Raw genomic sequence first — 13,737 nt, 5'->3', positions numbered from 1 at the left:
AGAGTTTATAAGAGATGTAGGTGAAATTAAATCTACATCCCCAACCCTTAAGCCCAAGCATGGATTTGTAGTTGGCTGACACTAGCTCTCCTAACTTAGCTGATGGTCACTTTCTGAGTTTCTTGCCTTTTTAGAATTTGTTTTATCATCTGTGGAGATAGTATCTACTACCTAAGATCATAAAAAGAATTAATAAGATAATAAATAGCAATCAGCCAAGACCTATCTCACAGTACTCAATAAATGTTAGTTCTCACACCTCTTTCTTCTTCTTAGATAACGTTATGATTATAGAGTTCTAGGTGGATGAATAAACATATTTACCAAATAACTGTATTGATAATAACTAACATCAATCAAACACTTACTATGTGCTAGGAGCTGTGCTAAGCTCTCTTCATGGATAAACTCATTACATCAACACCATAACCCTATGAGCAGGTACTGTTATTATCTCTTCTTTCTACAAAGGAGACAGAGCCACAGAGGTGTTAACTGCATTGCCCCAACGTCGCAGAGTTCATACATGGTGGACCAGGAGTCAATCCCTGGTGCCCTCGTTCCAGAGTTTACTCTTCACCACTTGCTGTCTACAGGCCATCATAACAAGGACTGTAGATGTCCTTGGAGGAAGTTGCTGGTAGTGGTTGTGCCATAGTTGGTGTGATACAAAAAACCCAAGTACTTTATTTGTTCTCAAAATAATGAAATACTATTTACACACTTATTTGCAAAGCACATTTTTCTGTCACCTACAGTTTCACGTGGCTGATGAATGCATCCATTTTCCTCTTTTAGCATCAGTCAATGCCATAAAAAAGTCTGCATTATCTTAGAATGTGCTCCTGCTTCTCACTTGTCTTGCTTAATATTAGTGCATAATAGTGCATAATCAAGTACAGTAAATGGCCCCCTGGTTAGTTTTAATGACCTTATAGCACCTACCATGATTTGCGATAGAGCTCACAATTTAATTTGAGGATGAAAGATTGAAAAATCTTTCTCCATATTGCTACTTTCCAAAACTGCTCAGATGTTTATATTTTATTAACTAAAAGTCATGCCAACTTTCTCAATGACTCTATTCAACTCAAAGCATGCGGTACAAATTGTAAAAAATTCTTTTTTTTTTTTTTTTTTTAAGGCATGCTCTCTCTGTTGCCCAGGCTGGAGTGCAGTGGAATGATCACAGTTCACTGCAGCCTAATCTCCGGTGCTCAAGTGATCCTCCCGTGTGCACTACCAAGCCCAGTTAATTTTTTTTTTTTTTTTTTTTTTTTTTTTTTTTTTTTTTTTTTGTAGAGACGGGGTCTTGCTCTAGGTTGCCCAGGCAGTTTTCAAACTCCTGGACTCAAATGATCTTCCCACCTCGGCATCCCAAACTGCTGGGATTACAGGCGTGAGCCACCATGCTCAGCTTTGTAGAAAATACTTTCTATTCTTTCACAGAATTATCTAAAGAAGACTTGAAGGCAAATAAGGAGAGGAAAAGGGGTAATTGTTTCTTTGTGCTCCTTTTCAAAGCTGCAAACTCAGCCAGAGATCCCAAAACTTGAGTCTTACCTCATCTGGATGCTGCTTTGCAAAAGAATTGGTCCTTTTTCAGGCAGTAAAATATTTGCAAACTTTTCCTAATGAGTGTGATTTGCAAACTGTAATTTCAGTGCAGCTACATTGCCAGGGCAGGTTTGGACAAAAATATGCGAACAATAAAGCGGGACAGGGCAAGCAGAGTTAGGTCATAAAACGCATGTCCCCTGTGCGTTGTGAGGCAAGACGCCAACGGCCTTGTGCCCTCAGCCACCTGTGTACGATTCTAGCTGATCATCTGTGACTCACTGGAGGCTGATTAGATTGTTTCTGTCCTGAGGCCATCTTATTATAACGTTGGGTTGTGAATTTCATTAAGTTTTACAATCCTCCACACGTGTGTTTATAACAAGAGTTATCTCCCCTTGTGGGATGACATTTGTTTTTATAAAACCAAAATTAAATCAAAATCTAAGCTTGCAAAGGTTTTTTAAAAGTGTGTGGAAAACAATAGGCAGAAAATAAATTGTCAGCATAAACTACCATGAACGTAAATAAATGTCCATGGAGGAGCTTGCAGAGATTTTTTTGGCATTACTCAAAATTCAATATGAGACATAAATGGAGATGACATGGAGACATGCTACATAAACCATTGAATAGTTGAATTTTGATTTTTATTTATTTATTTACTTACTTTCGAGACAGGGTCTCGCTTTGTTGCCCAGACTGGAGTGCAGTGATCACAGCTCACAGCAGCATCAACTTCCTGGGCTCCCACTATCTTGCCCAGGCTGGTCTCAAATTTCTGGGCTCAAGTGATCCTCCTGTCTTGGCCTCCCAAGGGGCTGGGATTACAGTTATAAGCCCAGCCAGAGTCTTTAATTATAACAAGTGATAAAACATACCTAAAAAGCACAGTGTGAAATTTTGTTGAGGAGACAGAAAGGAGCCATTTCCATCTTCGTTACAGAAAATGGCAGATCCAAGTTGCATTCTGCAGAGAGTGTTAAGGGAGTGTCACGGACCATTTCATCTGCGTTTCCTGCTTTCTCAGAATGTGGACTCAAGGAGGCAAACGGATGCATCAAGTATTCTGTTCACCTCTGTCTCATGGGACAAAAATGTTCAGTCTCAAACCTTTTAAGAACCATCTAGAATTATGACATTTTGTATCTGGGGGAATCATTTAGTCCAGATATTGGCAAAGATTTCCTATAATGGGCCAGTAAAGATACAGAAAATATTTTCAGCGTTGTGGGCCATACGGTCTCTGTCCCAGCTACTCAACTCTGCAGCTGTAGCACAAAAGCAGCCAGAGACAATGCGTAAACAAATGAGCATGGCTGTGGTCCAATAAAGCTTTTTTATGTCGCTGAAATTTGAATTTCATATACTTTTCACATGTCACAGATTATATTCTTGTGTTTTTTACAACCATTCAACTATGTTAAAAGCATCTCTAGCACACAGGTGGTACAAAAACGGGCAGTGGGCCAGATTTGGTGGTTACCAGATTTGGCTACCAGCCAACTTTTGTTAACCCCCTGATTTAGCTCAATGACAAAAAACCCCAGGGTGAGAGTGAGAAATTGTTACATGCAACCTGGATAGCTTTGCACATTTGCCTCAGCGTGGTGGCTACTTCTCAAATAGGCTGCAATAGAAACATTTGAGAAGCTAAAAAGCAATGACAATTTTCTCATTGACATTCTGATATTTAATGATATACTTAATCTATCATTTTTATGGAGATCATCAAATTTATTTAATTTTGACTTTTAAAAAGGGTAGTTGATAGAACTACCATATGACCCAGCAATCTCACTTCTGGGAATATACCCAAAGGAAATGAAATCAGTATGTCAAAGAGATATCCTCCCCACAAAGCTCACTGCAACACTATTCACAATAACCAAGATATGGAATCAACCTAAGTGCCCATCGACAGATTAATGGATAATATATGTATTAATGGATAATATAGTATAGGTACCACTGTGTATAGTGGTACATATACACAGTGGAATACTATTTGGCCTTAAAAAGAAGGAAATCCTATAATTTGCAGCACCATGGATGCACCTAAAGGATATTGTGTTACGCAAAATCAGTCAGGCACAGAAAGGTAAAAATTGTGTGATCTCACTTATCTGTGAAATCTAAAAACATCACATTCATAGAAACAGAAAGCAGGATGATGGTTACCCAGGGCTGGGGATGGTGGAGGTGCTTTTGGAGAGATGTTGGTCAAAGGATACCAAATTTCAGTTAGACAGGAGTAATAAACTCAAGAAATCTATTCTACAATATGGGACCACAGTTAAAAACGAGGTATCCTATACTTGAAAACTGCCAAGAATAGATTTTAAATGTACTCACTACAAAAAAGTTGATAAGTATGTGGGGCAACAGTTATGTTTACTAGCTTGATTCAGTCATTCCACCATATATACGTATGCTAAAACATGTTGTACACAATAATATATACAATTTTTATTTGCCCATAAAAAATAATGAATGGGTAGTTTCATAAACATTGTTTCCCGATTTGATCTTTGGCAGGATAGATTTTTCTCTGCCTATATGGTCCAAAGCCTTATTTTACAAATTTAAAAAATAGAAATACAGTTGTAACTTGAAATCTAGTTGTGGCAAATTCTAGTTCGTTTACTCCTCATCCCCCTCTAAGGGAGGAATATTCTCCCCTCAGCCCCACCCCCAGCCTTGCCGTTTGATCCTAGGTTTGGTCAGCTGGCTCAGTTTGGCCAATTAAGGCAGAGAGGCTAACCAGGGTGGAGTGACCATGTGCCAGTGCTTAGTACAGGGTTTAAGAGGATTCAAGGGTTTCCATTTGGACCTCCAGCAGTTTCTTGCCTTCCTCATGAAGAAGAATATGCCCTAGGTAGCTGCTGCCTTTTCAGCCTGGCCTGCCCTCACCTGATGCAGGGCCACCCCAGCTGACCCTCAGACCCACCACCAGAAGCAAACCTGTGCCTGCCAACCCCACAGTCCAGTGAGGAAGAAATCAGTGCTTATTGCTGCATGCCACTGAGATTTCAGGTGGTTTGTTTTGCACCATAATCACCATTTCCTGAACAAGATAGAAGAATTGGTGTTTATGGGGTGAAATCATTGATGAACCCTAATTCTTAGGTGAAGCTTCTGAGCTCCCCTAGGGTACCAACCCTCACCCACCTTCTGCCACTTTTTGAGTTTGCTTCCTACGTTGTCTCTCATCCTGCTTTGAATAATTGTTACTGTACGTATTTTTCTTTCTTTCTCTTTTTGCTTTTATGCCCAAGAAAACTTGGCACATTTTGAGTGAGGAATCTCATTTTGTTTGTCTTGAAAACGGATTTGAGAGCAAAAGATCATGTTCCCTCCAAGTGAAAAACACAGTGTTCTAATGAAAAAAGCAATATAAATAAAGAGCTAAAGAATGATTCAAGTAGCATCGAAGCTCAAAAGAAACCCATGGGTAGAATAAGTTTCAATGGAATTGTGTATGTCTGGAATTTTTTGAGATCATATCCACAAATTCTCACTGGGAGGAACCAGCTAGCTTTGTTTTCTTGAACAATTGTTATAAATTTGGTGCCAGGCTTCATTTAATGGTTGGCCTAAATTGGGCCAATATTTGGCATACTGACTATATACTTGAGAAGCACAATTCAGAAACAAAAGAAAATTGATTCAATTGAGCACAGTATTTTTCTCCATTACCACTGATAATTTTCCCTGGGCTCAGTGGTTTGCGGGGAGAGCCTTTCTAGTAAACCATTTTGTTTGTTTCCCCCTAAGTTATTCAGCAACTAAAACTACATTTAAAAAAAATTTCAAAAACTAAGCATGTTCCCTTTATACCCAATTGGTACCAGTTTGGACTTTCTGAAGGCATAAAGAGCTGTAAGTTGGGGCCTTTCTAGACCAAGAATAAAGAGAGAGAAAATGCCAGAGAGGTATCTGCATTCAAGAGTTGTTTTTCTAACAGAGCAGAGATGAACGCTATAAGAAAATAGCAGAAACTGTAAATGAACGGTGTCCTTAATCATAACTAAATTTGCTGAACTTCCTTGTGGAAATAAGACGTCAGTTGTACAATATGGCCTAATTGTCATCAGTATGGAAGATAAGACTGGGTTACATATTGGATCAAGTATTGGAAAGCATATAAACAAGGAGGTAGTTTGCAAATATTGCTTTTTTATTTTTCAATTTTCCTGTGAAAAATCATCAAAATAAGAGATGAGGCGAGCAACCTCACAGTCATGCCTTGCATCACAATGAGCACAGGACAGAAGGACCACTTTCCAATATCTGATCCAATACATAACCCGGTCTTATCTTTCACACTGATGACAATTATGTCATATTGTACAACTGATGTCTTATTTCCACAAGGAAGTTCAGCAAATTTAGTTATGATTAAGGACACCGCTCATTTACAGTTTCTGCTGTTTTCTTACTGTGTTTATCTCTGCTCCGCTAGAAATACAACTCTTGCTTGCAGATACTTCTCTGGCTTTTTCTTTCTCTTTATTGTGCCTGGCACAGAGGTCCCCAGATATGGGGCCAAGTGAAGCTGAAGTGCAGCCTACAGTCCCCCTTGTTAAGCCATACATCTCAGTGTGACGCCACACTGATGGAGTGGGAGAAGGCTTATCTTTTCCTTATCCACACTGACAACATATAAGATCACTATGCCAAGTACCTGCCATGGGGATGCCATTTTCTAATTCACACAAAGGGTCTGTATGAGCTAGGACCAGCCCTGAAGCAAAGCAATGTGATTGCCAAGTATTGCGTTTGACTAGGAAGTGATATTTTCTTTAGAAGCCTCACCAGGAGTGTCAACAAATACCCATGTCAAAAAATAATGGAAGTTTTCATGAAAATGTGTTCTAATTCAGCACCCTGTCCAAGAATATCATGGAGTTTTGTCAGCTCAGCGATAGCATTCTTGCCTTTAGCCCACATTGTTCTGCTCTGTAGATACCATATTTTTATCCGACTGAGAGGAGACTCAGGCCAGGATTAGTGGCGGCAAAATGGTTCTTTGATGAAGCCTACCCCATGTGAGGGGCCGTCTGGTTATTCTGCTGATCTGTTGAGCTGGTGATATGGATGTCTCCTTTAAGCCCAACCAGATGAGATCTTATATATGGACCATAAAAAGGAGTCACAAACACTGTAGAGTGGTATTTCTTATATGTTTTTGCAGATTCATGCGGGTTTACTCAACCTTCTCAATACCATATCCATTATCCCATATTTAAATTTGCTCCTTAGAATGGTTTAAAACTCAATGGGGCATTTTAAATGTAATATAATTAAATACGGTATGTTTCTTAACATTTTACTTTTACTTTTTACTTAACTTTTTACTTAAACTAAGACCTGGAATTACTGTATCCTTTCAACCAGCAATTCTTTCAACCTTCTGGCTGTGCCTGCTCCCCTAATACTGACCATTGTTTAGTCCTTTGCTCTAGAAAATTCCCTGCTGCCCTTAAGACTACCTACTGTTCCTTCTCCCTCTGGTCCTCTTCCTTTCTCTCTTTACCTAATTGTTTCCTGTTCATCCTTCACATTCCAGCTCAAGTGTCACTTCCTCAGGGAAGTCTTCATAACTTGCCTAAATTAACAAAATCTCCTGCTCTAGGTCCCCATGGAGTCATGTATCTCTTTGGCATAGTGCTTGTTGCAACTGCTACTTTAACATTCTTTCTGTGTGGCTATATGATTATTGCCTATGTCTTCCACATGAAGGGGAATAGATCTGTAACCCCAGAATCTCACCCACAGCCCAACACCGAGGAAACATTCAGCAACTGTTATGAACTAAATGTTTATTTCCCCCCAAAATTTATAGGTTGAATCCCCAACTCCCAATGTTGTGGTATTTGGAAGCAGAGCCTTTGGGTGGTAATTAGGTTTAGATGAGGGCATGAGGTTGAAGCCCCCAGGATTAATGTTTTTATAAGAGGAAGAGAGATGAGAGCTCTCTTCCTCTCTCCCTCCCTCTGTCTTTCTCTCTTTTCTCTCTGTCTCTGTCACATAAGGACTTAGTGAAAAGGTGGCCATCTGCAAGCCACGAAGAGGCCCGAAATCTGCCAACACCTTGATCTTGGATTTTTCAGCCTTCAGAAATGAGAGAAATAAATGTCTGTGGTTAAAATTACCCAGTGTATGGTATTTTGTTATAGTAGCCCAAGCTAAGACAGCAACTGTTTGTTGATGTCTTCCTCCCATCTATTGGATAAATGGATGGGAGAAAGAAAGGGAGGAGGGAAATGTATATGCAGGAAATAATCAGATAAGTGTACAAGATTTAACTATTCAGGATGTTTATCAGACCAATAGTTATAACTACAAAAGCTTGGAAACCAATGTTTTGCGTATCAATATTCTAGCCTCTACCAACGATACCCTACAGTTAGAGAGATGACCCCAGCATATTGTCAAGCAAATGAAAAGAATTATAAAGCAGTGTATACTGTATGGATCTCATTTTCTTTTGAGAAAAATATAATAGAATGACACAAATGTGCACAATAATCTAGAACAAGAACCAGACGACATCAACACATTAACAATAGCTATCTTGGGCTGGTAGAAATCTGGATATTTTTTCCTTCCTTGGACTCCCCCATATTTTCTCATTTTTCCACAATTAGCATGCGCCTCTTGTGTGTACCATATGTCGGTTTCTTCCCACTCAGGCTCTGTTTTTTCCTGACACCCAGTTTGAGGCAGACACAGCACCTCTGCATTCTCCAGAAAGAATCTACTCCACCCATGAGCTTTGGTGAGCAATGTAAATTCTATGGAAGTTTTTATGTGAAAGAGAGAGAGGATGCTTTCATCTCAGAGCCCACAGTGTTTATCTCAAAAAAAACCCACAAGACATTCTCTTACATCAGGGCTCTTTTCCAAGTAACCAGTGGGTTTCCTGCTGTCTCTCGTCTTTTTCCCCATGTAGCCTCTCAGTCTCCCGTGGCCCCTCGTCCTGACTCCAGCTCCTAATTCATATAAATGTAGAGTCACTTCTTTCTTCTGTATGAAATCTTGTCCCAGCCCCATACTGTCTCCTACTCCACAGCTGGCTGAATGCATCTTCTCAGCAAAGGGCATATTTCCTCTGTTAGAAAAAATACTCAAACCAGCTGCTGGGAAGATACAATTTCATCCATATTGTTGCACATAAACAATAAAAATTAAACCATAATTATCTAAAGATGAAAAAGTTCATGTGCAATTTATCATTTTCCCACATGATATGCTATCAGTTCCTAGTGAAGGCCATTGCTAGCCTTTAAAGCAGAAGCATTTCAATTAAGAACAGAAGCGTCAACCACAGCTTGATCTAAGATTTTGCTGATCTTTGGGGAACATTATCTGCTGCACATTGGTCTAGTTATCAAATATCCCATCATGCCCTAGACATTGGTTTTCAAATTCTCAGAGCTGATAGAACTCTGGAAAACCCAATTCTTGGCAGGATTTTAGGGCATCTTAAAAGGCTTGGCACAAATACAAATGAATATATATCTACGAGGACCCTGTTTGCTTAAGTCCCAACTGTTGCCTTCTGAGACTTAAGGACTTCACAAGACCCAATAAGAAACCACAGTTCTTGACAAGGGAGCAAAAACCAGAAGGGAGGTGCACAAGTTCTGAAGCAAACTTCCACAATTCCAATTCTAATTAACCCCAATTTTCATCCAGAGCGTCCGTGTATAACTCAAGTCAGAACTGCTTTTCTTTTTGTAAACAATAACAAGAGCAAACATTTGTTGGTGTCAGTAATGATAACCCTCTCTTATTGAACCGACATGCCAGGTCCTGTCCTAAAAGCTTACCATGGATTATCTCATTCAATTCTCCCAATAACCCTATCTATAGCATATAGATACTATTCATGTCCACCATTTTATTGGAAAACTGTGAACAAGGAGTTAAATAACCTGTTCAAATTCCCGCAAAAGTCATGGAAGCTACACTTGAAACCATGGCTAAAACTTTTGAGATACTCCTGCTTCCCTTATAAATTTGTATCTTCTCTGTCTTCATTTTAGCAGATAACTAGAGAGAATTCTATGACATCTTCAGAACAGATGCACTCATAATATATGTTTGCACAAAAGGTTTTGTTGTTCTGGCCCAGCCATTTCTTAAAATGACCCCTATTAGTTAACAGACATCTGTGTTCCCAAATGATTGGGAGGAACGCTGTCACATGTGTTCCAGCCTCTAACAATGTAACTACTAGAACAGACATAGAGTAAAAGAAAATTCAAGGACTATTATTATGAAATATATTAATATTATATTGTTCCATATATTAATATTATATTGTTCCAGCCTCTAACAGTGTAACTAGTAGAACAGACAAGGAGTAAAAGAAAATTCAAGGTCTATTATTATGAAATATATTAATATTATATTGTTCCACAGTCCTGGTCTTCTGAAATTAAAACTATCGTATTACAAATCTGGCAAAAATTGGCATATATCTATACATCTGGCGTATACATACACGAGTGCACAATATTGCAATTTTCCTTAAAATTTCAGAAAGTATATACTAGTATTTTATCTTTTCCTGACCGTGTAAGCTCAAAAATATTTCAATTATTTGTCCTTTAGAATCTATTTTTCAAAAATATAAAGGGAGAATATACAATTCAAGGTATACTTTTATGAACACAAAAATTCTCTCTCCATATAAACTTGTGGAGATTTTCTTTCAGGTCAAATTCAATTAATCTTCATTGTGTCTTCATAGAAGAGCTGTTTGTAATTCAGCAGAAAACAAAACAAAGGTATAATGAAAGTGGTCAGCTTTTTTGGCTTTATTTTTCAATTACAAAACTTGAGGATAAGGCTTCAAGAGTATTCTAGTTACAATCCAAAGTATTGACTTGTGCTATGAAATATTATCACATGCAGAAATAAATTATAAGGAGGGAAAGTCTTGTTTGTATCCTAACCAGTCCCTCTGAATTTTATTATATCTGTTTTTATGGTATCAAAAATTAGATGTCCACAGTACGTTTTCAGAAATCCCTGCTTCTTGCACTCTTGTCAGTAGGATTCTCTGCCATCATCAACCTAAGTTCCAATCTCAGCTCCACAAGCTGTGTGACCTTGGGTCAATTTCATAATCTCAGCTTCTGTGCTTATGAAACAAGATAACTGTAAAGTATGGATTATATGGGATCATATCTGTGAGGGTAAAAAGCCCTGCAGGGTGCTCAGCACACAGCAAGCACTTAATATATAGCAGTTCTCATGACAATTTCTAATATTCCTGTAGCCTCTTCTCAGGTCTCTTACTGCCCAAAGATGAATGTGACCCCTTCAATCCAGCTATAACTCCACCTGTCTGAGGTAAACAAAGTTATGGTCATTAATAGCCATGACTATTTATATGGTGTTGTTTAATGAGCCCTTTGGGGTCCTCCCTGACATTCCAAATTTCCCACTTAACTCTTTGGGATGAAAACGCTGTCTTAGGAAGACCTATAACATAATACAAATGTCTGGGATACCATCTCAGCACCTATTAACACTGAGTCAAGATTTTATATCACCTAGCTCTCATGTGGCAACAGTTCTTGAGAGCAAGGAACACAGACAGAGGAGTTTTGATGAGGGAAACGGATGGGGAAAAAGTACTAAGCAAGAGGTGACATCAAGAGAACATATATCTGAGGGGTCTGCTTGCCCACCATTTTTTTATGCAACAGAAAAGGAATCTTGTTTCCTACCTTACTGAGGGGACCCATGAATGCCAGAATCCTTCACTCACCTGCCTGCTGCCCCTCCATCGCGGAGTCCTTTGGGGTGAGAGCTTATGTTCAGTTTTGCCAACACACGTGGACCTTATTAACAACAATTGCAACTTTTATTATATAGTCCTTTAGAGTAGTACTTCTGAAACCAATGATGTGCATGCAAATTGCCTGAAGACATTGTTAAAATGTATATCCTGATTCAGTAGGTCTAGGGTGGGGCCTGAGAGTCTGCATTTCTAACCAGCTCCTAGGTGTGCCAATGATGCCCAAAGGCCATAAAGAGAATCCTTACAGCTTACAGATCATTTTCACAGTGACCTCATGCATCTTTACAGCAAACCAGGGGAGAGGGAGGACCAATATTTTATCTCTATTTTATAGGTGAAGAGCCTAAGGTGCCTGGAAGTTAAATGGCCTTCTTAAAGCCAGATGAGCAGACATTCAGGATCCTAATCCGACATTCTTCCAGCAGCGTTGTGCTCTCTCCCTTTAATCTTCCGTGTCGTTAAGTATCATTACTGACTTCAGATCAGTTCATAAATTAACTTTGGAGGAAAAAGGGTAAAGGATGTAGCTGACTCTTCTTTCTGGTGATCTTGGATCTGTTATGTACTGCATCATATCCACCTCCTTCCCTCCCTTTCCCAGGTGTGCCTCCTACCTCATCCCATAGTCTTCACTATATAAATGCATCTGTGGCATGCAGATGAACCTCTTTAATTCCACTCCACAAATATTTGTTGACTTTATATTTGGGCAAGGCATTGAGTCATGATCTAGGGACAACAAGATTTAGTCCCTGCCCTCAAAGAGCATACACAATAGCAGAGAAGACCAGTGTCTTTCCAGCTCGCTACACTAAAAGTCATGCTATGCCAATGCAAGGCATGATTTGACAACAAGAGTAAACACGCTGCTAGGAAAGCAGTGAGGAGGGGCAATTAGTCCCAACTTAAGAGGATCAAGGAAGATCCTCAAAGAAGGCAGTATTTGTGGCTTGACCTTTAAAGTAATGCAGAATTTCAACACGTGGGAAAAAAGGTGGAGGAAGAAGAGAGGGAAGCAAGGACAAATCCCAGGCATGAGTACAGGCTCCGTGGAAGTGATTTTCTGGGTTTGTGGTGGTTGGTCTGTTGCACCTCCAATTGCCAATCAGGTCTGTACATCTGTAATTTAGTCGAGGGGAAAATGCAATACCTTGCCTCTGAGGGTACTGGCGGCAGAGCTTATAGTCTGGTATCACTTGCCCTCGGAATGGAACCCATCCAGGTTCCCACATCTCTTTCTTCCTGAGTCCAATCCACCTCAGGAAAAGTATCACTTTTCAAGAAGGGACTTAGAGGCTCCGATAACAAAGCTCTTATTGGTAGGTCATGTTCTTCTTGGCAGTCCCACAACCTGCCCCTGGATATTTCCTTTCTAGCCTCTTTCTTTTCCAATCATCCCTAATGGAAACATTGCCTCACACCTTCCTTTGCCAAGCCCTCCAGCTTACCTTAAGCCCCACTTCTGGGATGTCTTGCACGAAATCAGTCCCTATCTCCTACAAACAAATCAGTCAGGCTGTCCTCTTTGAGCCGTTTGGTTGCTAAGCACAGGTGATGCCGAAGCTTCTGATTCATGGACCTCACTCTGGGCGGCATAGATCTAAAGTGCCATTTTCCCATATTGACCCGTCACAAGAATTATCTGAGGTACCTGTGAGAAATGACCATTTTCAGGAAACCCCCCATCCTGCTGAATCAAAATCTCTAGAAGAGAGGCCAGGAAAGCCACACATATGTCAGGCACATGAAATGACTCAGGTCATCAGCCAGGTAGGAATCCCTGGTCTAAATTACCCCAAAAATCAAAGCCTGACACTCTCTGATACTATGGATACACGGGAACAACTACCAACTTTAAAAATCCAAGTTGTGCCCTCTTTCAATGTGTTGTTTTAACTGATCTATGCTTAACGATTTATGGGATCTCATTATACAACTAACTGTATGTATGCTAGGCAGTCTTAACAACATGAGCCCCCTCTGTCTCAAAGACCCAGGTATAAAACTTTGCTGAGAAATGAATTAAGATGAACAGATACTATACATATGCATGCTTGGTGTTGATATCTGTGTATGGCTAGGGTTTTATTTGTCCAAGCGTGTCAGTTGCTCAGTGGTTAAAACTGGAGGGGAAGAAGGAAAAGAACAAGATGAAAGGTTATAAGACTTGAAAACCAGTAAATTTGGGGAATGTTTGGCTTTTTGCAAAATATTTTTTAATCACAGATTGTCAGTCCTCTTTCAGATGTGCCAGGTTCTTGTTTAATTACTGCATGTAAATGTCCATATTATAATTAGCAACTGATAGATATACACATAAATACATATGAACAAGCACATACACGTATAATTTTTAC

Source organism: Homo sapiens, chromosome 3 (genome assembly GCF_000001405.40).
Source record: "Homo sapiens chromosome 3, GRCh38.p14 Primary Assembly".
Lineage (NCBI taxonomy): Eukaryota > Metazoa > Chordata > Mammalia > Primates > Hominidae > Homo > Homo sapiens.
The sequence above is the reverse complement of the archived record's forward strand: the minus strand, read 5'-3'. Positions refer to the sequence as shown.